Source organism: Homo sapiens, chromosome 2, assembly GCF_000001405.40.
Source record: "Homo sapiens chromosome 2, GRCh38.p14 Primary Assembly".
NCBI classification, from domain to species: Eukaryota; Metazoa; Chordata; class Mammalia; order Primates; family Hominidae; genus Homo; species Homo sapiens.
In genome coordinates, this window is record NC_000002.12 from 136,106,237 (window position 1) to 136,130,978 (window position 24,742).

A 24,742-nucleotide genomic window follows, 5' to 3' on the forward strand; every position below is an offset into this window, starting at 1 on the left:
GCTTGTTTTCAAAGGTGTAGGAAAGGGAGGAATGTTTAAAAACATTTTCTTTTTAAACATTGATTAAGAAGCTGGATAATATTTCATTCTGTAGATTCACCATAGTTTGTTTCATTCTCATTTTGCTGTCAGATGTTTAGGCAAATGCCAGTTTTTTTTTTTTTTTGTTATTACAAATGTAATACTCAACTTTGTACACAGAGTATTTTTAAGATTTAGGATCAGTTTCCTGAAATTAGGTGTCTAGAAATGGTCTCTCTGTATCAAAGGGGATGAGCGTAGCGGCTCTGGAGACGTTTGCCCTTGGCTTTGGAAAGGTCTGGCCAGCTTATGTCTGACCAGCAGGGCTCAGAGGTGCTTGGCTCTCTCTACTCTGGCCCTTGGGACGTTATTATTTTAAAAATGTGTGCTAATTTGATAAGTAAGAAACAGTGTGTTGTTATTTTGATTTTCATTTATTTGGTTGCTAGTGAGGATGAACATTTCCTCATATTTTTGTTTATCAGTTTTATTTCCTCTTTTGCGAAGGGGTACTTTGAGTCCTTTCTGATTTTATTTACTATTTCCACACATCTTTCTTCTTTTCCACTCCATACGCATGGGGTTTCCATCTGGCTAGGGATTTTTTTCCAGGGCCACCTTAGCCTGGACGCCTTGTCCTCCTTTACTCTGGACCATGGGAACTGAGCAGCCGCTTTTGTGCTGTCATCCAGATATAGCAGAAAACTCACATTTACACAGAAAGCACTTGGCAGTTTCCTCAGCGTCTTCTCACATTCTTTTCATCTGAAACAGAAGCTGGGCCTCTCACCTTGGGAAGAGTGTTCTATAAAGTAATGAATTTGCTTGGAGATGTTTCTAGTAAGAGACAGAACAGAGCAGCCCCTTGGAGATTAGTTTTGATATTCCCACGAGGCACCTGAAGGCTAAAAGGAAATAGAATTATCCTCCTTCCCCCAAGAGCTGGGGTCAGGTCCAAAAACGCTTTCTGCACCATTGATTTTTCTTAGGCTTTTGTGGCTCAGCTTGTGGCCATGAAACACTATTCATTGCCATGGATTATGGCTTTTTCTTTTGTCCTATTTACGGACTGTCTGTGTAGTCACTGCCAAAAGTTGTGATTGGTGATTATCACTTTGGAGGAGCAAAGCTGATGTTGCTCACACCAGACAAAGGTTAGTCAGCGCACCTCAACAACTTTCATTAGTGAGACATCACTGCTGTAGCTTCAGGGAGTTATAAGAGAAGGAGATGCCACCTTTATCAGCACTCTGGGAGATGAAAGTGACACAGCTGCACAAAGGTGGATTAAAAAAAAGCAACTCTCTTACCCCAGATTGTTCTTTCTAAAATAAAAGACCCAGTAAAGAAGCAAGATTTTGCCAAGCAATATGGCAAACCAGTACCCAGACCCACATTGAGGGTTACCTGTGAAAGCATTTTGTCAATAGTAAAGGTGCCTTATAAGTGGTAGGTATCACATTTATGTGAATAAAGTCACTAGTTCTCTGGGGCTTTCAGTGCCTGAAGCTTAAAGAGTAAACTTTCTTATATTTCGAGTTTCACTTGTTCATTTTTATAAAATTTCTACTATCGCTTAAGCATATTCTAGACCAGGGGTTGGTAAACCACAGCCTGCAGGTCAGATCTGGCCTGCCACCTGTTTTTGTTTTTAATAGCAGAGAAGCAAAGAATGGTTTTTACATGTTTTAGTGATTGAAAAAAAATCAAAAGGAGAATATCTCATGACACATGAAAATTTCATGAAATTTAAATTTCAATGTCCACAGATACAATTTTATTGGGACACAACAGCCACACTCACTTTTTTATGCATTTTCTTGTTACCATGGCAGAGTTGAGTGGTTGTGCTGGAAACTACATGGCCCTCTAGGTAGCCTAAAGTATTTGCTACCTGGCCCTTTACAGAAAAAGCTTGGGACCAATGTTCTAGACACTGGAAATACAGCTATGAACAAAACAGACCTACATAGTCTTTACATTCACAGAGCTTACATTCAGGTATAGCTTACTTTAAAAATGGCCCAGGGGGACTGGCACCCTTGATTTTGGCTTTGGAAACCTCAAGTCCTAAACAACTGAGCTAACCTTATATAATTTTAGCCAACATTGGCACAGCCTTATGGAATCTGATTGTTTTTTAATCAAATGAAGTATCTATTAATTAACTATGTTAGACTGCAAAGGTCTTGGTGCTTAAGACATTGAATTTGTTGAGAAAACAATGTTTACAAATTTAAAAAGAAGATAATGCCATTTACAATAGCTTCTTTTAACTTTTCAAAAGCCTTTTATGTGTGGGATCTTCCCATGTCTCAGACTTCATGTGCTAAGAATTTAGGATGGAAAAGCTCACTTGGACTGATAGAAACAGAGTAGGCTTGCCAAAGGAAGTGGGATGTGGTCCAAGATGATGGTCTTGATTTCCTTCTTCAATCCCAGGAGCCTAACAAGTTGTCTTCTGTGAACAGAAGGCCAAAAAACTACCACCAGGGCTTTTTCCCATATCCTACGGCTTGGCAGGACTTTTGCTCTTATCTTCATGACGTGAACAGCTTCCTTTGGGCTGGTAAAGCAGGAAGGACGATCAGGATTGGGGGCCTGACACCCAGCTCGTGAGGTGGGCTGGGATATGATACCCCTTAAATGGGGAATGAGTGGGAGCAAGACTGAGGGAAAATTGGGTGGGTGGGTGGAATCTTGGATTTCTTAAAATGTTGGACATTGGAAAGTCTGCGAGGTCTTTAGCTAATTTTCCAGCATGTCTAGAACATCAAAGGACTACATCTTCCACTCTACCGTGAGCAGCTTTCATACTTGCCTGGTCCAGAGTGGTGTTCAGTAAATGATTCAGTAAGTGAATGACTGTGAAAGAATGAAGGAACGAAGGAAGGAAGTCAAGTCATACACAGGAACATTAATCAGAATACTTAGGGCCGGGTGTGGTGGCTCATGGCTGTAATTCCAGCGTTTTGGGAGGCTGAGGTGGGAGGATCACTTGAGTATAGGAGTTTGAGACCAGTCTGGGTAAGATGCTGAGACTCCCGTCTCTACAAAACAAAACAAAACAAATAACCCGAGCCTGGTGGTGCACACCTGTGGTCCCAAATACACCAGAGGCTGAAGTGGGAGAATTGCTTGAGCCCAGGAGGTCGAGGCTGCAGTGAGCCATGTTTGCGCCACTGCACTCCAGCCTAACTGTCAGAGTTGAGACCCTGTCTCAAAAAACAACGACAACAACAACAAAAAAACTTAGAGAATTTTGTGTGCTCCCAGGAATAGGAATTTATGGGTGTTGATTCATTTGCTTATTCCACAAAATATGAAGCTCCTACTATACGCCAGGCACAGTGTATCAAGTTAACTTGAAACCCATTTTATTTCAACCACAAATAGTGCAAATCTTTCTAGAATGTCAGTGTCTGCTTTGTCACTTACAAAAGGACAATCAGGTGAGTGTCCGGTCTTCAACCCTGAAGAGTACTGAAGAGCATGAAGGATGTTTTTGACTTCATAGTTATTTTCCTGAATATTGGCTAACATTAAGGCAAATAATAAAGTTCCTGTAGTGCTTAGGAAGGCACACTCTGGTGTCAGATGACCTGGGTTCAAACCCAGGCTTTATCACTTATAAAACATGTGACATTGGGCCAATTTTAAGCTTTGTTCTATGCTTCAGTTTCCCCATCTGTAAAATAGGCAAATAATAATACTTACTGTGTAGGGCTGTTACGAAGATTAAATAGTCAAAGCCCCTTGGTGTGTAGTAAACCCTCAAGGTCAATGTTAACTGTTATTGCTATCACATAGGACTTGACCTAGAAATAGAAAAGATAGGGAAGTTTGGACTGAATATGTTGAGAATGTGAGGACATCTCCTAGAAATTGGTTGTCCTGTTTTCACATTTATAGTGTGTGTAGTAGAAAGAACATTAACCCCTTTATTTGTAGTTAAACTTTGCCTGTGCCCTCGCCTGAAAATGGAGCTAGCAATATTGCTGGGACTCTTGCATCTTACATATGAGAGTGCCTGGAATTTCAATATACATTACTTTTCTTCAGACAGAGTCAAATACGAGGAAGTAATTCCCTTTAATTAAGAGTGTTGATGAGTTGGGTTCTGGTTAATTGAACTGTAATATGTAAATCAACTTAATAGTGGACTGGCTCTGCCAGATAAACACACAGCACCTGGTGTAGTTTGGTTGAGCACCTTTATTTGTTTGATTTTGAAAAACTCTGTCCCTTCTGTGACTTCTTCACATTGGGGATCCCTCAACTCAGCCTGCAGCCAGCTGGAATTTTCAGTTGAAAGAAGGATTTTCAGAAGGTTTTAGAAGATTTTAATTGTTGGACTTGATAAAATTGATTTAAATTAATCCAAGCCAGTTTCAGACAGTGGAACAATAGGCTGGTACCTCATCACTCATTTTTTAAATAAAAGGAGAAAAATGGGAAGTGTTCCAAATTGAGTCACAGGCAGTGGTGAGGATTAAATGAGTAAACATCGTTGGCTTTAGAGAGACAGATATTTGATGATAATTAGAATCCCCAGCATTTTACCATTTATTTTTCTTTGTAGGATGGCTTCCTAGCACAGCCTGTGGCAGCTCATCAGGGAACAAAGAAGAAATGACAGTGTCCCTGCCCTTGAGAAGCTGATACTCCAGTGAGAGAAGAAAACAGGCAAAGAGAAAGATGTCACGATGACAAAGTAACATTGAAATGAATGTAGAAGATAATTGTGGGGGTTCGGTAAGGTGGGAATGAGTAGAGTGCATTGAAGTGAGACTCACCCTGGAACCCTGTCCAGTGATACTGTCTTAGTCGGTTCTGGCTACTATAATGAAATACCATAGACTGGCTGGCATGTAAATAACATAAACTTATGTCTCACAGTTCTGAAGGCTTGGAAGTCCAAGATCAAGACACCAGCAAATTTTGTGTCTGGTGAAGGCCCACTTTCTGGTTCATAGATGGCACCTTCTAGCTGTTTCCTTATACGACAGAAGGGGCTAGCTAGATTTCTGGGATCTCTTTTATAAAGGCATTACAAATTGTGAGGGCTGCATGCTTATGACCTAATCATCTCCCGAAGACCCTATCTCTTAATACCATCACCTTGAGGGTTAGGATTTCAACATGAGAATTTTGAGAGGACACATTCAGACCATAGCAAATACCAAGCTTTTTATGGATTCATACTATTTCAGAGAATTATACTGGTTGGCTATATCCTTATTTCGATTATTACTATCACCTTAAAAAAGGGATTCTCAACTTTGAGCATTACTGACATTTTGGGCCAGATCATTTTGTTGTGGGGGCTGTCCTGTGTATTGTAGGATGTCTAGCAATATCCCTGGCCCCTCCCCACTAGATGCCACTAGCACCTTGTCTACTACTCCTCCCCGCGCCCCCTACTTCCTCAGTATGATGACCCCAAATGTTTCCAGACCTTACCAAATGTTCCCTGTTGGGCCAGTTGCCCCCGGTTGATGACCATTGTGTTTAAAGAATTCATTTCAACTATTTTATCGGCCCCTAAGGCACCAGCCTCCCTCTGAGGCTGTGTCCATGGGAATGCTATCTGTGGCTGCTTGCGGATCTCTCCAGCACTGACTGGCTAAGTCACACTGGCAGCCATGGGTGAGACTTCCTCAACGTGGGTGGAGCAAATTCCTACGATGCCAGGCTGCAAGGTTGCATTTCTGCATTTCTAGGTGTCGGGGATGCCTTGATTATTTTCCAAAGTAATCTAAATTTTGTCTCCAGGGATCCTTGCCCCTCCTAAATGGGTATTATCTGGGAATAAGACAGCTCAATTGTTTATGGAGCCTTTATTTAATATTTGACAATATCTAGGAGAAAGTCACAAACACTTAGTTCAATTATTAAAATAAAGCCTGTAGGGTATCTCCCCAAAAGAGTATCCCAGAATCATTATTTTAATTTAAGCATAATTATAAAAGGGGGCTGGGAAGCCTGCAGTAGGGGGAGATAAATTTTCAAGTGTCATTTTAGGAAAACAAAGGCTTTGCAAGAGAAAACATCCACTTTCCCCCCTAGTTGCAGGCTTAATGTTATTAATAAGTTAGATGTCAGATGTATGCTGTTATTGGCAGCATGCATACAATTTAAATATTTTAGCTTTCATTATACAACTGAATCTACATGACTGAACTTCAAGGGCCCCATTCATAAGGGATGAGGAGAGGGAACAATCAGCTACTTCATGCAAGGGCTGGCCAGCAGACTGGGTTTCCCCACATTGTCAGACAAACCACGACACAGGGAAGGCTTTGGAGACGCTCTAACATGGCAGGGTTGGGACAGAGAATGATGGGGGTGGGGGGCACCCTTTTGGGGCAGGGAGAGAGCCAAGGCTTGTTTTTCTTTTGGAAAAAAAGCTATTCCATCTTTGTTCCAAGGGAGAATGAAATATCCATTAAGACTGGTGACACTGGGAATTTTGTTTTGGCTCAGTTCCTTTTGTTGTGACTCCACGGTAAAGGAGAGGAATCTGGGGTAAGGAGGTTTCAAGCCAAGATGAGAAAGAAAAAGCATGCCTTCCAAGGATTTCTTCTATTGTCTCCCGGAGAATAAATATTTATAGAGAGGGTTCAAGTGAAGTCTGTCTCAATGGTTGTGGCTTTAAGACTAAGCCTTTGAGAGAGTGCATGTAAAACTATGCTTAAATGAAGGGTGATCCAATTAGGCTTCTCAGGGAAAACCAAGAAACCTCAAGATAATTTCCTATCTGAAATCTAATTGTGTCCTCAAGTAGAATATGAATACCACTTTGAATTACCCCAGATCCATAGACGGCAGCAAAAATGTACAGCCAAATTGGATTCTATTTTAAGTAATTAAGTTATTTCCCTTCACAGGATCTATAATTTGCCTTGAACAAATGTGATTTGCCTCAGAAAGATAAGGCATTGCAATTTTTCCTCCAAAATGGATTTTCTGTGCCAGAAACAATTACTAAAAGTAGACCAAATATTGTCGTAATTATATCCTACTTATTATCTGAGTGCATGCCTGGAGTGTACCCTGTTTGTGTTCCAATGTGAGGTAGGTATGGCTAGAGTTTAGAAATTATCTTTAAATAGAAACCAAAGCTGAAATTTACTCAAGAGCCTGGGGCTTGCACAATGGTCGTGTTAATAGCAACGGGTGGTTACATAAGTCTCCAAAATCTTGTGCAAAATGTGAGCAACAGGGAGCTTGCTTCAGTGGACCTTCCTTCTGACTCTAACAAATATCAGTATTAACTTGTAGCTGCTTGGCTGAGTCCTTGAGGAGGTGCTAGGTGTTGCGATAGTTTAAGAATAAAAGTGTTGAGATTTGCATAGAAGATATTACAAGAGGAGTATTTTGGTCATGGTTAATTTTATGAAGAAAACATTCACTTTTGGCTTTCTTTATTAGCAGTTCAGTTGACTTATGCCCAGGTGTTCTGAAGGGCAATAGTAGGTAAGAGTTAAGAGCAAGAGCTGGAACAATAAACAGAATTAGTTCTTGGCTTTGCCCCCTTGAAAGTGCAATGTATGGAAAGTCTCTGAATCTCAGTTCTCTTGTCTGTGAAAAGGGAGTGATGGTTATCTACACTGAGGATACTGGATGAGGAAAGCACACACCGTCTGGCATTGCACAGACCTGGGTTTCACAAGTGGATGGTGGAGTAAAATCCAAACACGACTGCATACCTTTTCTTCTTTATACATGCTTATCCTCTGAAAGATGACCTTTCATACAAATAGGTGCTGGCTGGCCATTTCTAAACTTCCATTTGAATTTAAAGTGGTGAAGGCTTCAGATTCGTTAAGTCATGTTACCTGGTTTAAAATACAGGATTTGATACTTACTACATGCCTTTAACCAAGTTACTTAGGCTTTCTGTGCCTCCGTTTCCTCTTCTATAAAATGTAATTAGTAACAGAAGCAGAATCTATCAGAGTTGTGATAAGGGGTAAGTAAAATATTACAATGAAATACCTAGGATAGTGCTTTGCATACCATAAATGTATTACTTTTGTCTTCTACTAGCCAAAAGAATGTCAACAGAAATCAGAACATAACACTAAGTAAGTTTAACATGTACTTTTATTAACAACTTAATACAAGACTGTACACTGTAGGTGCTGAAATCAACCCACTCCTGAAAACTGAAAAACCAGCATTTCTATACCACTTTGGGCTTTGGTTATAAGTGCCATCTTCTACAGCAAAATCACGTCTTAAGAACAGGAAAAACGTTCCACGGGAATGGAGAGATTATCTATGCATAAACAGCTGGGGATCATTTCTAGCTTTACGTGATTCACTACACGCTCTGGAATGTTCAGTTCCCTTTTCTACAGTCCTACCACGAGACATACAGCAACTAAGAACTTGGCCACAGGTCCTGCCTAGACACACATCAATATGAAACAAAAAAAATTTATATAAATAAGTCAATTAAACTTCACAAAAACTAAAGAAACACAAGACAAAAATCCAACAAGCAATAAAAACTGTACAATATTGGTCAGTCTTTTATATCTGAAAAATGTGTAACTTAAAAAAAAGTTATTTATCGTATAAAAAAAAGTCTTTTACATCTGTGTTAGCTGGAGTGAAAACTTGAAGACTCAGACTCAGTGGAAACAGATGAATGTCCACCTCGCTTTCCTTTGGAGAGGATCTTGAGGCTGGACCCTCTGCTCACAGAGGTGAGTGCGTGCTGGGCAGAGGTTTTAAATTTGGCTCCAAGGAAAGCATAGAGGATGGGGTTCAGACAACAGTGGAAGAAAGCTAGGGCCTCGGTGATGGAAATCCACTTGTGCACAGTGTTCTCAAACTCACACCCTTGCTTGATGATTTCCAGGAGGATGAAGGAGTCGATGCTGATCCCAATGTAGTAAGGCAGCCAACAGGCGAAGAAAGCCAGGATGAGGATGACTGTGGTCTTGAGGGCCTTGCGCTTCTGGTGGCCCTTGGAGTGTGACAGCTTGGAGATGATAATGCAATAGCAGGACAGGATGACAATACCAGGCAGGATAAGGCCAACCATGATGTGCTGAAACTGGAACACAACCACCCACAAGTCATTGGGGTAGAAGCGGTCACAGATATATCTGTCATCTGCCTCACTGACGTTGGCAAAGATGAAGTCGGGAATAGTCAGCAGGAGGGCAGGGATCCAGACGCCAACATAGACCACCTTTTCAGCCAACAGCTTCCTTGGCCTCTGACTGTTGGTGGCGTGGACGATGGCCAGGTAGCGGTCCAGACTGATGAAGGCCAGGATGAGGACACTGCTGTAGAGGTTGACTGTGTAGATGACATGGACTGCCTTGCATAGGAAGTTCCCAAAGTACCAGTTTGCCACGGCATCAACTGCCCAGAAGGGAAGCGTGATGACAAAGAGGAGGTCGGCCACTGACAGGTGCAGCCTGTACTTGTCCGTCATGCTTCTCAGTTTCTTCTGGTAACCCATGACCAGGATGACCAATCCATTGCCCACAATGCCAGTTAAGAAGATGATGGAGTAGATGGTGGGCAGGAAGATTTTATTGAAATTAGCATTTTCTTCACGGAAACAGGGTTCCTTCATGGAGTCATAGTCCCCTGAGCCCATTTCCTCGGTGTAGTTATCTGAAGTGTATATCTGCAAAAGAGGCAAAGGAATGGACATTCACTTCCAATTCAGCAAGCATTAACCCAGTTAAAAAAAATTTTTAAAGCAATTTAAAAAACCAATTCAGGCTTGCTTTCTTCAGGAAATTCTGAAGTAGTGGGCTAAGGGCACAAGAGAATTAATGTAGAATCCTACAACTCTCCTCCCCATCTTTTCCCATAGTGACTTCATTATATCCTTCTTTGGTAGAACCAATTACAAAATTCTTTGTTTAGAACAAAAGGGCACTGAGACGCTGAGGGTTTCAAAGTCACATCTTGGCTAACTCCTCTGCCCCGCCCACTAGAGGGAAGAAAAAAAACCTTCCTTAGGAGGAAAAAAAAAATACACACAAAGAGGCCACTCCCAGGCGGCGTGGGGGGTGGGGTGGGTGCTGCTAGGAGGGGCAGTGATTAACTTTTTGTAAGAAGTTTTTCGCCCAGGGAGGGAAGAGGGGAGAAGGGAGGATCACGGGGGGAGGGCGGGGGCGTTGCAAAGACTCATTCTCCTAAAGCGCAAAAACTTAATTTTCCCACGCCTGCCTAAATACAAACCATTCTGGGCTTCAAGCAACTTGTAGTGGGTAAAGAGAATGCGGTCTTAAAACGAAGGCCCTTCGGTGCTTGGGGTATATTGGGCGGGAGTGTCAGAAAATGAACAAACGGCACCTCCTCCCCCAAGCGGGCGCTCCTCCGGTGTGTGGGTCTCTTGCCATCCTCGTGTTTATCACTTGGCGCGTTTGGGACGTTAGGGAGCGGGGCATTTTCCTGGGTGGAGAAGGTAACGGGGTCTGCACCCGTGGTCCTCGCCCCAAGTTTCATTTCCTCACTCTCCCGGGTGGCTTCCCATTACCCCGCCACTGATCCAGTTAACCCGGCCGGAGGTGGGCAGCTGGAAGCCTCCAGGCGGTGGGCACGCGGGGGGCCGGGTCGTCCAGCCCCGGGCCGCCGCGGCTGCCCACTACACCCACGCCAACCGCCCGCAAGCAGCGCTGCAGGGGCTCCGCTGGGCGACACGCCAGGCTCTGTCCCACAGGGTGCTGGGGAGCGACTGGGCGGCTCCGCCGCGAGCGTCTTTGAATTGCGCGCCGCTGCAGGAAACCAAAAACTCCCTAGCAAGAGGGTTTCAAAAGGTTTCTGGAAACCACCGACGGTTAAACATCACAACTGGACTCGGAGAGAGCCAAACGGTTTCCCCACTTGCACCTGCCAGTCTTCGCGGCGGCGACCTGGCAGCCCAGGTGCGGTCTTAACCGCCCCCGCCCCTCACCCCGTACCCGCTCCTATCCCCGGAGCGCAAATCTCAGGGCTGGCAGCTGCGCGGTGTCAAAGGGGAGGTCAAACCACTCCGCTGACCTCTGCACGACCCCAAACTCTCGAACTGCAGGACCCACTCGCGGCCGTGGGGAAGAGGCGCGCTTCGGACGGCGGGAAGGTTTTCCCCCTCAAACCCAAAGCGCGCGGGCGGATCAACTCCTAGCTGCTGCCACCACTCGATCCCCTCAGAGGATCGGCGCGGTGGGTCCACCCGCCTCTCCCGCCCTCTGCCTACTGTGCTGGGAGACTGGCACAGCTCCGTCGGCCGCACAGAGTTTAACAAACACGCACCCAGTGTCAAGAACAGTCACCAGGCGCTTAACCCCGAAGTTAAAGCGGGCGCAATCTCCTCCTGGGAACTCAGCCCAGGCACGCCGCCCTCCGCCTCTAAATTCAGACAATGTAACTCGCTCCAAGACATCCCCGCTTCCCCAAGGAAGAGACCGGTGGTCTGAGTCCCGAGGCAGCGCGCACGCCTTCTCTGCACTTGTGCACAGAATGTTCTTACGTTTGCAAACAGCGTGCAAGCCGCCGCGCGCGGCGGGACTCAAGGGGGAGACACATGCAGCCACTGGAACGCTCTTTCCAGTCGTTTCTCCTCGACTCACAGAGAAAAAGATTCCAATCCTGCTCCCCCCCCACCCACCCGCACTATATAGGCATGGTCAAGAAAACTCCTTTCGGTGACCCTTTTTTGGAGTACGGGTACCTCCAATGTCCTGGCCGCTTCTGCCCGCTCGGAGAGGGGCTGCGCTCTAAGTTCAAACGTTTGTACATTTATGACAAAGCAGGTTGAAACTGGACTTACACTGATCCCCTCCATGGTAACCGCTGGTTCTCCAGATGCGGTGGCTACTGGAGCACTCAGGCCCTCGGCGTCACTTTGCTACCTGCTGCCGCAGCCAACAAACTGAAGTTTCTGGCCGCGGCCGGACTTTTATAAAAACACGCTCCGAGCGCGGCGCATGCGCCGCTGGGGCGGGGAGGGAGAAGGCGGGGTGGGGGAGAGGGGCAGACGCGAGGAAGGAGGGCGCAGGGGCGGGGCGGAGAGGTGCGCGGCTTGGGAAGCCCAGGGGACCCTGCTGTTTGCGGGTGGTCGGTAGTGAGTCCGGAGCCGGACAGGACCTCCCAGAGGCATTTCCTAAGTTTGAGGGAAGCGGGATGCGCCTGAAGACAGGTGGGAAGCGCGGGCTAGGAACGCGTCTCTCTGTGGCGCGTCCATCCTTGCTAAAGTGGATGGAATTCCAGACCTGGGAATGCTACAGTAGAGACACTGAGGCCCAGGGAAGGGGAGTGACTTGCTGGAGTAACCCAACCAGTAGGCGGCAATGCTGGAAGTAGGGCCAAGCTTCCAACGCCATTCCCCGCGCTTTCAGCAGACGCAGCCCATTCAGGAGGTAAAAGGAGTAAAGATCCTTCCTTCGGAGGATGTAGCTATACTTGCACATTCACAGCATCACTAGGGTCAGGTGCAGATAATTAGGAGATACTTTCAGAAGAAGGTAGGATTTGGCATAATTCTGGAGACTGATCAGATGTAGATATGTATTGCTCAGTAATTTCATAATAGCGGTAACCAATTCGCGAATAGTGCTTTATTATCCTAAAAGTATGCTTTATTATAAGAGTAATTTAGCGACCAGTACTTTTTGTAACAGATCACTAGGAACTTGCACAGAATCACTCATTCATTCTCACAACACCGTGTGGGTATTACCATCACAGAGATGCATTTAGTCCGATATTTATAGAAGGACGAACTGCGTGCCACGCACTGTTCTAGGCGTTGGGGATCCAGCGTGAACCAGACAAGGCCCGCATTCGGAGAAACCAGCAAATAAGCCCGGAGAGATGAAATGCCAGGGATGGGCAGGGATTCCAAGCCGGGCTTGAACCCAGGTCTTCGGTCCCCATACTCGGCGTCTTCCACGATTTTGAGCAGAGGACAAGCTTTGGCACGAATCAGAAATTAGGTTGAAGAACTGGGCGGGGCGGAGTGGGGGTGGGGGTCAGACGTTTAAAGCGATCTCAGACTGGCTGAGGTTTGCAGTGGGCGCGCAGACAGTGCTTTCCCCCTCGCGCCACTTCCCTCCGGCGCGGAGACTGGGTGGGGCGGGGGAGCGAGTGTGGGGCGGGGCCGAGAAACTGCGTCCGCAGGCGGGGTGGCCGCTGCGGAGATAGCTGGGACCGAGGCGCGTGCGTCGCGACACGGACCCCAGAGGCCCCCACCCCGAAATGGTCCCGAGGAGAGGGATTGCCCAGACTGCACTCTACACACGATCCCTCTTTTCTATATCAAAAGAGGAAACATTTCAGTCTGGAGTGTTCCAGAGGTAGTTCGGAGGCAGGGAACCTTTTCTCTACAGAGCATGACTTTCCCCCTTTGTCTGGGACCCCTCCCTAATGTTGGTGGTTAAAGGTTCTCATCTACTCTGCACTTTCACTGACACAGGAAAGATGATATCCGGGCCGGGAGATGGGACTCTCAGAAACGAACGAGTTAGGACACACACTAATGGCCAGATAAAATCAATTCTAATATTACATTTGTAGAATTAAAAAAAAAAAAAGAAACTCCAGGTTCTTGGAGGGTGGTGGCTGGAAGAGGTTTCGGAAGCTCCACGCCCCTTCTCACAGGCCTTGCATTACGTATCTCTTCATCTGTATCCTTTATAATATCCTTTATAATAAACGATAACGGTAAGAAATAAAAATGAAAATAAAACCGTAAAAACACTTTTACTTTTTTCGAATCTTTAATAAAACTTAAGGATCTTCATATTTTTATAGACACGGTAGATCCTATCTACTGAAGGTCTAGAATTTCAGAGCGTTTTCATGACTTGCTTTTCACAAAGCCTGGTAGTGGCAGAATCAGTATGTTTTATCCTGGACCGTAAGCTGCACCCTACCTCAAAACTCCTCCCTGCACGATGTCTAAAACCTGAAAGGTGAGATCTCCCAAATCTGTCCAAAAAGGGAAAGAGGAGAAAACTCGGAGCAAAATGGTTTGCATAATAAATATTTGTTGATTGTAGACAGACAAAAGAAAGCTCCTTCCTTTATCTGAAGACTCCTTTCAGATCTTTTTAGGGATCTCTACTAAAAGGAAGCAGATAATTAAAAGAACAATGAGATGCTATTTGGTGACTACCAAATTAGGCAAAAATCCATTTTTTTTCAAAGATAATATTTGGTCTCCGGATTTGAAAAGACCAGCTGTCTCTCGCTTGTCACTGATGGGAATGTGGCTTGGGACAGCCTCACTGGAAAGCATTTTCTATTCAGCAGGAACTTCAGAACAGTAACTCCACTCATAAAAACTTATGCCACAAAGGTATTTGTGGAAACATTTTTTTTTAAATAGTGAAATGTCTGAACATCCCTAAATAACCACTGTTAGTGGAATAGTTGACAAGATTTTGGTTCATCCACATCTGAAATTCCATATGGACATCGCGAATGTTATTTGTGAAGAATTTTTAGTGACATGGGGAAATACTTATGAAACATTAAGTGCAAAAGGCAGGATTCAGAATTGTGTATATAGTGTGATCTCAGTTATGTTAAAATATGCATTTGGAAAATATAGGGAGGAAAACCAAAATGTTTATAGGCGTTTTCCTTGGTGCAGAATTATATTTGATTTTTGCTTTCTTCCTGGGGTTTTTCTATGCTTTCCAGATTTTCTGTAATAGACATGAATCATTTTCATATTCATAAAAAAGCCAACAAATTGTATGACAAAAAGGGAATCAGAAGGCCTCCTTCATGTATGTTTCCACTTCTAAAGTATCTACTAAGATGTCAGACTTTTTTCACAATAGTCCTTTCCCCTTTCAAGGAAGGCTTGTTTTCCAATGGGCTAATCTTAAACTTCTATTTCCACTGGGCTACCTAAACCTTATTCTCAACTATTCTATGATGTTCTTTAAAAAACAAACAAAACTCAAGCATTTACTGAGCGCTTGTTATGTGCAACTGACCTCATATAATCCCCTCAATAACTCTACAAGGCAGGTGCCATTACTTTTATTACATGGTAAAGAAATTAGGGTCTGGAAAGATGAGGAACTGGCCTGTGACCCCGGAATGAGGATCTGCACCCAGTCTGTCTGGCTCTGAAGCCCAGGTCATTTGGCATTTACGTACATACTGCTTTGAGTGGCATCCCTTGTGATGTTACTCAACTTTTAAATGAGTATATGTCATACTCCTATCCCTCCAATATTTTAGGTTCCTTAAAGTGAATGCCCAGATATCCTCTATCCAGCTAGCCCATTGCTGAACAAATACTGGGCTCCTTAATCTTTTACTGAACCTTTCTTAAAAGAATGAATGACTTTCCTGTGTGGCTCTGGCAACAGAGTCAGGCTTAGGGGCTGTCAGGGATTTGGCAGGGTCCCCAACTTCTCAGGTTGGCTTTAGCCCAGGGAATAACTAGCCTTGGCCACAGTTTGGAGGGGATGCTTACAAATCCAGTGACACAGTGGCAAGCATCCTGCCACCTCCTGTTGCTCGCTCTGCAGCTGGTTGATTTGTGTGTGAGTGTGTGTATCTGTGTGTGTGTGATGAAAAGCTGTACTCTGTCCCTAAATTGGCTTCATGTTAGCTAGGCAGAAAGCTTAGGAACAGACCTTTTCCCAGTGGTGGATGGCAGGAGGTTAGAGAAAGGAGGAGGTGCCAGGAGGAGGTGGATGGCAGGAGGCATTAAAGGCCTTCAGAATACACAGGGTCTTCTGGTTCCTTCGCTGGCCCCTCTCCTGTCTCTAAAAAAATTGATCGCTTTTGTTTCTGAAAGAGGAAAAAAGTGCAAACTTCCTTGACAGTAGTAAGGGATACTTAGAGAAAGTTAATGTTTTCCTAAGTGATTAAAAAAAAAAAACAAAAACGGAGACTATTTCTCAAGGCGCAAGTAATTCTAACACAGGGTTACAAATCTCAAAGAGACAATGGTATCAAATGTCAACTATTTCCAAGCTGGTGTTAGGTGGAACAAATTGTCCCTTGCCTAACCACACCCCGCCCTCTCCTCCTTCCCTAAATCCTTCTGTCTCCAACACCTACAGATGAAAAGTGACTTTGAAAACAAACCCAAACCTTCCATCCTACAGTTCTTTACCAATTTAGGAAATTATTACTGTTTTTTGGGGGAGAGCCATTTTTACTCTAGATTTAAGTTGTATCTTGAATGTTGAAAAGGTCTGCCTTCACTAAAATGGGATGATTAGTGATTTCCATCAATGCTTTATAGCAGTCAAGACTAGTCAACAAATTTCCTATACAAAGAGAATAAACTAGACTAGTAAACAAATATAGGCAATTTAGAGCCATCCTGGTAAGTCATTTAAACAAAACAGCCACTTAATTAACAGTGCAATGATCATTACTCTACTAGTTCCACTGCCAGGAGGATGACTGTTCACAAAGTTTGCTGTGCTCCTGTGGCAGGTGCTTGTGTGGCTTTATGGGTGTAAAGAACAGCAGCAAACAGGCTCGGTGCTATTGCCTCAAAAATCATGGTGTCAAACTGGGAAGGAGGGTACTGCTTTAGGAAATAATTGAGTGAGTGAACCCTGTCCTCCATGGAATAGGCTTGTCATTGTTTTCCTTAAACCAGTAATTTATTGGTGGTGACCTCAGACAGCTATATAAAAAGAGGAAGCGCCTAGAGCCCTGTGGACTGTCAAGTTTTATAAAGAGAACTGGGCATCCCATGGCAGAGCCTTGGTGCTCCCAGAAATGTGGTGATCTGATCGCCCATACAGATGGGCTTTGAGATATTTCTGAGGTCATTCTTCCAAGAATATTATATTAGCAAAAGAACAGGGTGGGAATTACTTGTGTGTGTGTGTGTGCGTGTGTGTGTATGTGTGTGTGTAGGGGAATCCATACAATGTTTTGCTTGAGTTTTCTAAATCTAAAGCTATCTGTCAGCTATCAAAGCTGTGTCTTTGAGATTTGTAACCTTCTGTTAGAATTACATGCCCCTTGAGAAATAGTCTCCTTAAAAAAAAATAACTTGGGAATGATCTTAGAGCTACTTGTAGGTCTAAGACACCAGTGACAACATCTAAAAACCTGCAGGTATTGTAAATGAGTGAGGCAATAGGGACTGGTGGGGACTGTGGAGAACCAAAGGGTGCATGCCCTGTCCTAAAGCAGCAACCACTACCCTCCATTGCCCTTTGAGGGAATTTGGGCCATATTATTCACTTTTTTTGTTTTTTTTTTTTTTTGAGACGGAGTCTTGCTCTGTTGCCCAGGCTGGAGTGCAGTGGCACAATCTCGGCTCATTGCAAGCTCCGCCTCCTGGGTCCACCCCATTCTCCTGCCTCAGCCTCCTGTGTAGCTGGGACTACAGGCACCCACCACCACGCCCAGCTAATTCTTTTTGTATTTTTAGTAGAGACGGGGTTTCACTGTGTTAGCCAGGATGGTCTCGATCTCCTGACCTTGTAATCCGCCCATCTCGACCTCCCAAAGTGCTGGGATTACAGGTGTGAGCCACTGCGCCCAGCCTATTCAACTTTTTTTAAAGAGAAAGTGAAAGTCCTGATTTTTTAATAAGAAATCTCTCAACTTAAAAATGTTGGTTCAAAACAAACAAACACAAAAACTCTACTAGCTTCCAGTCTTCCAGTTTACACTGACCTAAGGTGTTGATGATAGCCATCAAAAGAAAGTATGAGACTAGGTATTGTGGTTCACACCTGTAATCCCAGCACTTTGGGAGGCTGAGGAAGGCCAATCAGATCACTTGAGCTCAGGAGTTTGAGACCAGCATGGGCAACATGGTGAAACCCTGTCTCTACCAAAAAAGTACAAAAAAATTAGCCAAGTGTGGTGGCTGTAGTCCCAGCTACTCAGGAGGCTGAGGCAAGGAGATCACTTGAGGTTGGGAGGCAGAGGCTGCAGTGAGTCGAGATCGCATCTCTGCACTGCAGCCTGCATGCCAGAGTGTCACTCTGTTTCAACAAAGAAAAAAAGAAAAAAAAGAAAGGATAGGGTTAGGCAGTCAGGAGACTTGGGAGGATGGAACAGACACACATGGACAAAAACTGGCTGCAGAATCCTTTTGGGGTGGTCTCTATGTCATAATTTGTCTCTCTGAGACTGAAATTAGTTACTTGGGATTTCCAGGTCAGTCCTCCCTTGCGGCACCTAACCGCACTCAGGTTAATGTCAGGGACCCTGAAGAGAATTGACAAGCTTTGTGTGATCCTTACATTCCTCAACCCTTTTCCCATCCCCAGGCCCTATGCCTTCTTCACTGTCTTGATGCATGAGCACTGGGCCTGTCTTTTCTTTCAGTTATTATAGGACAACGTCCTTCAGGGAGAAGAACATTCTTCCTTCTGCTCTTTAAACAGTGGGAACAACAGCAGAAAGGAGGATTGCAAGCCAGACAGAGTAGCTTTGTGGTTCAGAGCACAGCACTGGAGTCTGCTCACACAGTGGCCTTTGTTGTAATATCATTTGTTTTAATATCCGGCTAACAATAACATTCTACTTTTTGGATTATTGGGAAGATTAATATGATATCTATGTAAAGACTTTAGTACAGTGTGGGGCACTTAGTAAGTGCTTAATAAACATAACCTATTACTAATATAGGTTCCTATCTCTGCTGCTGAAATGTCTTTCTTGTTGGTCAAGGGCTTTGCTTAACCAGACAAATGGCTTTCTCCACCATTACCCACTGAAATGAGGTAAAGGGAAGTGGAGTCTTAAATAAAGTGTGAAGTGTTCTTACTTTTAATTGTGGTCAGAAGAGAGATCTATGCAATGAGGGAAGGAAAGAGAAGACATAAAGAATTTCTCATACGTGCCTTGAAAGCCCTTCCTGTCTTTGCAGTCTCAGATTCGGGGTTGAAAGGGGTCCTTAATGCCATTTGGTCTCATTATGTTCCATGCATTGGAAGGAGCTCCTTTTCAGCAGGTGGTCCTGTCTCTGGACACTCCTGGGATGGGCAGCCCACCCTTTGGAAAGGAGCAGATCCCACTGCCGGGCAAACCTGATCACTAGACGGTCCTTTTTTTTTCTTCCTTTTTTTTTTTTTTGGCTAGGCACCTGTCTCTCCTGTTTTCTAGCCTCTAAGTGTAACTTAGCTAGAGCTTGACTGGAGGAGACGCCATGAGAGGAAGCCAAGGACCGCGGCAGCCAAAACCATCCTGAGGCTAAAGCAAAAGCTGTGCTTTCCGAGACACTTATTTCTGCAGCCACAGGGATGAGTCTAATGAGAGGCTTCTTTGTTCCATTAGCAAGTCTGAGAAGGGTATCTGGCCAGGTTAGAGTTTCTTTTCATAAAGGAAATTATCTCCAAACATAGAAGAGCTGGGGATTAAGTGACTCAGAAGATTTAGTGCTGGACTTTTTTAAGGCCTCCTGAGACTTCCAGATATACTTGCCTTGGTGAGAAAATGTGGGGTAACAGCAGCTCTGGAAGCAGGTTAATAAAGAAGGCAATTAACCACATCTTTGCTTGGTTTTATGTTAGGCAAAAGCAGGTTAAAATGAATACTTGGAAATGTGTCTGAAGATGTGTGTCTGAATGGGCTTCTTTTTAACAGGTGCCAGTGGCTGCCTGGAGAAAGCATTTCCATGTAGTCTGTTCACCCCCGTAACCCCCTCCAATCACAAGCTCAGGCTGTTTCCTGGAATCTTTGTAAATTGGGGATGTTCTGTGTCTCAGCAGCTTCTTTTTAAATGGAAGCCATGAAATTGCTTTCAGTGTCATTTAAAAATACTGAAGTGGAGTGCTTTGGGTTTCTCCCTACTTTGTCCGCTTGTTTATCCTTGTGGTTAACCAGCTGCAGCATAATCTCCTGGCTGTGTTTACTCCTGTCCTATGTGCCCAGGGCTGCCCTCCGTGACCTGCTTGCTATTTTGAGCCCAGGTGGGGCAGCCCCTTGCGGGGAGTGGGCATCAAAAGTCCGCTTCTGCCCACATTGTCTCTTTTTGGTTGGGAAATTGGCTCACGTGTGGATAATTTATTGCTTGTTTGGGGCAGACGAGACAGAACGAACTCCACAGAGACACTTTGAACAACGCGGAACAATTTGGATTAATCCTTTCCGCAAACAGGGTTCCATTTGCATGAGGGGATTGCTGAGAGTTTTATCTTGGGTGATAAATGGCAGGCATTCTAGCTCCACTGGCGAGCATCGCCCCCATGCAGGTTTAGATTAGGCTTCTCCAGACTGAAGAGGATTTTTGTTCTTGGCCAGGTAGATTTTCACTTCAGGGTTAGGGTTCAGGCAGCTGGTTACCTTTCTGAGGGGGCTTTTTTTTTCCTATTGCCTTTCGCCCATCTGGGCTGTGCTAAGGTTTTTGTCCCAGTGTGGCAATTTTCCAGGCTAAAAAAAGAACCACCCTCCCTCCTTCAACCAAAGCCTCCTCTGCCAACTTTTCTCACACACGTGTGCACACAAGAGCACGCACACATGAGATCACAACCAACCACCCTAGAAAGCCCAGTTCTCTTGCGCTGCTGAATTTTTTGTTTTGCCTTCTCTCTCCTCTGTCATTTGCCTGCTGCTGTTCTGCACCCTCAATTCTAGAAAGAGGAAATTCTACTCAGGCACTGCCATGGATTTCTCTTTAGGTTTCTACCTAGGAGTTCAGGTGCTGCGGGTCACCCAACTGGCCCCGAAAGTGAGAGGGGCTCCCTGGTCCCAGAAGACAAAGACCTCCTGTGCCTGTTTATGCTAAACCTAAACATTTAATTGATCCTGCTTTCTAGCAGGTCCCAGGAGACTTCATCAGACTCTTTCTAGGAAGCACAAATATACAGAAGATATTTCTTCTGACCATTCTCCAACAATCAAGAGATGTTTATTGAACTCTACTTACTTTCAATAGTTTGTATTGTGAAAACATGAAGTTGTTTTCCAAAGGTGAAAAAGTATGTTATTTGATCTGTATTTTTCAAACTGTATGCTTCATTTTCTTCTTGAAAATCTGTTTTATCCCCACCTTCAGTCAGAGAGAATCTTAGAATGCTGTGGTTTTCTGACCTGTTGTCTGCAGTCTCTGGGCCCATACCTTTGTGCCCCCTGTGAACAGAACAGGCTGTCTTGAATTAATTCTGCAGAAGAAAGAACTGAAAATGGGGGAGTGTGAAGCATCCCTAAGAATCAGAAATAAGAAAAACTCAGCCAGTACAAGGTCTGAAGTTTCTCTCCCACCCTCCTGCTGTCCCACTTTGTTGTAAGTATAAACAGCTCTCCTCTGCTTCTCCTAGCGAGCAAGCTAACGAGGGAAGTGGGTTTTACTGTGCAAGCTCTCCCTTCTGTGTGTTGCTGGGGTGGGGTGCGCTGGGGGCAGATGCGTCTGTTTTTTCACCGGCCCGAGGCAGTAGCACAGGCCCTGTAATCTCCCTGGTCCCCCTGTGTCATCTTCCAGAATTTCCATAGAAGCTGAGGCAGCCCCAGCATGCCAGGCTTAGGCTGCCTGGTGATGGACCCCCCCCCACCACCCAGGGGAGTACCCCAAAGAGTCCCTTGGGTGGTGCTACTCTGGTTCTCTCCCCAGAAAACCTGGCTTCTGGAGGTGAAGAGGTTGAAGGACTCGAAAAAAAAATTCTACCCAGGGAACCATCTGGGCAAAGACTTGGACGTGTAAAGCAGCAGGCTGTACTCTGGAAACTGGAGTAGATGGGTCTCTCTGAGCGCGACTTGGTGTTAAGGGAGTAATGGAGATGTCAGTGAGCAGCAAATGAGACAGCAGTGTAAGACGAGGAGCTCACCACACGCTCTGAGGCAGCTATCAGGGAATCCCATTAACTATGTATGTAGCAGGAATGCTGTGAGAACTGTCTAGGGTAATCTATAAGGCTATTTTGTAAACTAGAATGACATTAATTAAAAGTTGGGCTGGGCACAGTGGCTCACACCTGTAATCCCAGCACTTTGAGAGGCCAAGGCAGGCAGATCACTTGAGGTCAGGAGTTTGAGACCAGCCTGGCCAACATGGGGAAACCCCATCTCTACCAAAAATACAAAAATTAGACAGGCATGGTGGCATGCACCTGTAATTCCAGCTACTCTGGAGGCTGAAGCACAAGAATTGCTTGAACTCAGTAGGCAGAGGTTGCAGTGAGCCGAGATTGTAACACTGCACTCCAGCCTGGGTAATGGAATGAGCAGAATGAGACTCTGTCTTAAAAAAAAGAGAGTTAGTTATCATAAAGATAAAATGTTTTAATTAAATCTAGATTAAGTAAAAGATGAAGTTGAGCATCTACCCATTCTGGTTTCATAAAGCACAGGAACCAATTTTCAGCCTAAAGACCCCAGCTCTGCTGTGAAAGGTGGGGGAGATAAGGTGACTGAGTCTGCCACTGAAGAAAACCAAGGCTAGTGTTGAGTGTTCTCATGATGCCAGGAAGTTTCCTCAGTTCTTCTCCCTTGCAAATCTGGTACTCATACTCTCACATGGCCCGGGATCTATCCCATAGCATTTTATTTTTTTCCGTGTATCTTCATGACCTGCTTTCTTCTACAGTGGCTTCTCTTCCTACTCCCTCTTGCCCCTTTTGATTTCCTTCTCTTTTATTTCTGAGGTCTCTTCATTCTCCCCCTTCCTTCCATCCTCCTATCTTTCCTCCTCTTCCTCCCTTCCTTCTTTCCACAAACTATTTTGAGTGCCTACAATGTGCAGAGCTCTGCTAGGTGCTGGGAGAGACACTAGATGAATAGCATACAGTCCTTAGCCTCAAGACACCTAAGTCCAGTATGGGAGATAAAATAGGGACATAAAAAACTGTGATAAAAGCCAGAGCAGGATGGGCAGTGCAAGTGAAGTACAAACAAGGCCCAGCAGGGAAAGAGGAGGCCTTTCACATAGGAAAGGCATGTGAAGAATGGGTAGGTATTGATTGGAAGGTATTCAGCAGGAAGGAGGAAAGCCTGACTCAAGTGAGAAGGCATGAATGAAACGTTGGAGCTGCAAACAGGGATCAGCTAGTTTGACTGGAATATAGGCTGGAGTTCTGTCTGCAGGGGTACATTAGGCCAGAGCATAGATGGTTTTATAGACAAGGCTAAGAGGTCTGGACTTTATTCTATCAAGTAACAGCAAAACTATGAAGATTTGGGGTTGGAGAATAATATGCTCAGAGCTTGGCTTTAGAATAATTAATCTATAAATGTAGTGTCAAATGAATTGGAACGAGAAAGCTAAGGTGGACAGACCAGACAGAAATCTATCTGGATAGCTCAGGTGGAAGGTTGTAAAGGTCTGGGCTAGCCACACATGGTGGCAATTGCAAGGCTGCTAATGGGTGGAAGAGATCTTGGAGAACCAGCATCTGGTGACTTATTGATGTGGGGCTGAGAAAGAAGGGAGAGATGAAGGGAGACTGGAATTTCAGCTAAGATGTGAAGAATGGAGGTCAAGGGGAGAGACTATTTCGGAGGGGAGGGGATGCTGTTTAGAGAAAGTCTGAAGGCTTACCCTTGTATTTTTCAAAGTTTGTATGTTGGTTTCTCAGTCACCACCTGCATCTGACTTGTGGGCTTTTGTGTAGCACAATGATATCCTGTTACTTATGTCATCGAAGTGACTTCATCTCCTGTCACATCTCAAACAACAACGATCGGAGGTGGCAAAACTTGGCAGACAAAAAAAAATGCAGGCTTTGAGATCCTTTCCTTACATTTCTAAGGTTACTACCTGGGTAAGGCCAAATCTGGATTTTAGGGGGAAGGACATTTGTTAGATCAAAGAAATCAGTATGTGGGTATCAGTTAGTGCTGGGGACTTTTTTCTATGGGAAGAAAGGCAGAAGGAAAGAAGCAAGTGTCACAAGAAGCTTAAATACGAGTTCAAATCAACATCTGTGATGTAATAATAGTTCCAATACAATCATGTGTAACTTTTATGGTTAAAGATGAATTACACAGAAAATAAGGAGTTGATAGTGTCCCCCATCAGACCAATAGTATCAGAATGAGCAGGGTTGGGGCTCAGTAGTTCAGATGAGAAACAAGTTGTTCCAACCCAATGTGCCCTGGGAAAGTTTTGCAGGAGAGATGGACTCTGAAGCTGAGCTTTACGGCAGTCCACATTACCACTACAGCACCCACTTCCTGGTTGGGCACATTGTTGGAATGTCATACCAAGGCACCCGAAGTTTAAATAATTTCAGGACTCCTTAACTGCAAATATAATTTTTAGCAGAACATTGAAAATAACTTGCTCTAGACTTATGCCTTTATCTGTAAATTTTATCACAGTCGTTCTTAAGGAAAATAGGCACCCTTTGCTTCCAGACCTTTGGTCCCTTATAACTGTTGCTTTGCCAAGTGTCCTGGTCTACTTTTGAGTGTCCAACTTTGGTTCTTAGAGTGCAGTTCCAAGCTGGCCCTAAATATAACTTGTTATTATATGTAGGTTCTCAGAGTGTGGCTCCATTCTTCACATCTTAGCTGAAATTCCAGGCTTCCTTCACCTCCTCCTTCTTTCTCACATCAGTGAGTCATCATATGCTGGTTCTCCAAGATCTCTTCTATCCATTAGCAGCCTTGCAATTCCCACCACTGTGTGGCTAGCCCAGACTTTTAAAACTTTCCACCTGAGCTATCCAAATAGATTTCCGCCTGGTCTTTACACCTCAGCTTTCTCCTTCTCATCCATTTGTTTGTTTTCAGACCCATTTTCTCTTTCCTTCTTGGCCTCAGATTATGTTTCTGGCCCTTCGGTTACTTACCAGTGGCTCATCTCAAACATGCTCTT

At 44.5% G+C, this 24,742-nt stretch overlaps 1 protein-coding gene across 6 annotated transcripts, besides 2 other annotated features; it reads right to left on the bottom strand.

The window, feature by feature from the left end:
• On the bottom strand, window positions 8,113–11,913 carry CXCR4 (C-X-C motif chemokine receptor 4). Of its 6 annotated transcripts, none has more exons than NM_001348059.2 (3): window positions 11,810–11,913; window positions 10,354–10,452; window positions 8,113–9,676 (listed from the first exon to the last, which is right to left on the bottom strand). In NM_001348059.2, exons 1-3 carry the CDS (start codon window positions 11,822–11,824, stop codon window positions 8,633–8,635), a joined length of 1,158 nt encoding a protein of 385 aa, NP_001334988.1. In that variant the 5' UTR covers window positions 11,825–11,913; the 3' UTR covers window positions 8,113–8,632. The 6 variants fall into 6 exon arrangements, with proteins under 6 accessions (NP_001334988.1, NP_001334985.1, NP_003458.1 ...); NM_001348056.2 differs by having other exon boundaries at window positions 10,240–10,452; NM_003467.3 differs by lacking the exon at window positions 10,354–10,452.
• Window positions 10,535–10,704: a silencer, noted in NCBI's record as "silent region_11985". NCBI's record gives its function as "represses an Ori minimal core promoter by ATAC-STARR-seq in GM12878 lymphoblastoid cells {active_cell/tissue: GM12878}" and the evidence as "EXISTENCE:reporter gene assay evidence [ECO:0000049][PMID:35858748]".
• Window positions 10,835–10,904: an enhancer, noted in NCBI's record as "active region_16584". NCBI's record gives its function as "activates an Ori minimal core promoter by ATAC-STARR-seq in GM12878 lymphoblastoid cells {active_cell/tissue: GM12878}" and the evidence as "EXISTENCE:reporter gene assay evidence [ECO:0000049][PMID:35858748]".

Bases quoted from the DNA above. Each gene is read 5' to 3' on its own strand.
- CXCR4 (XM_047445802.1), bottom strand. From the start codon at position 10,506: ATGAAACTTGGGGCGAGGACCACGGGTGCAGACCCCGTTACCTTCTCC. The intron at 9,677-10,239 runs GTTTGTATTTAG...CCTCTTTTGCAG, and splicing joins GTTGCTTGAAGCCCAGAATG to ATATACACTTCAGATAACTA.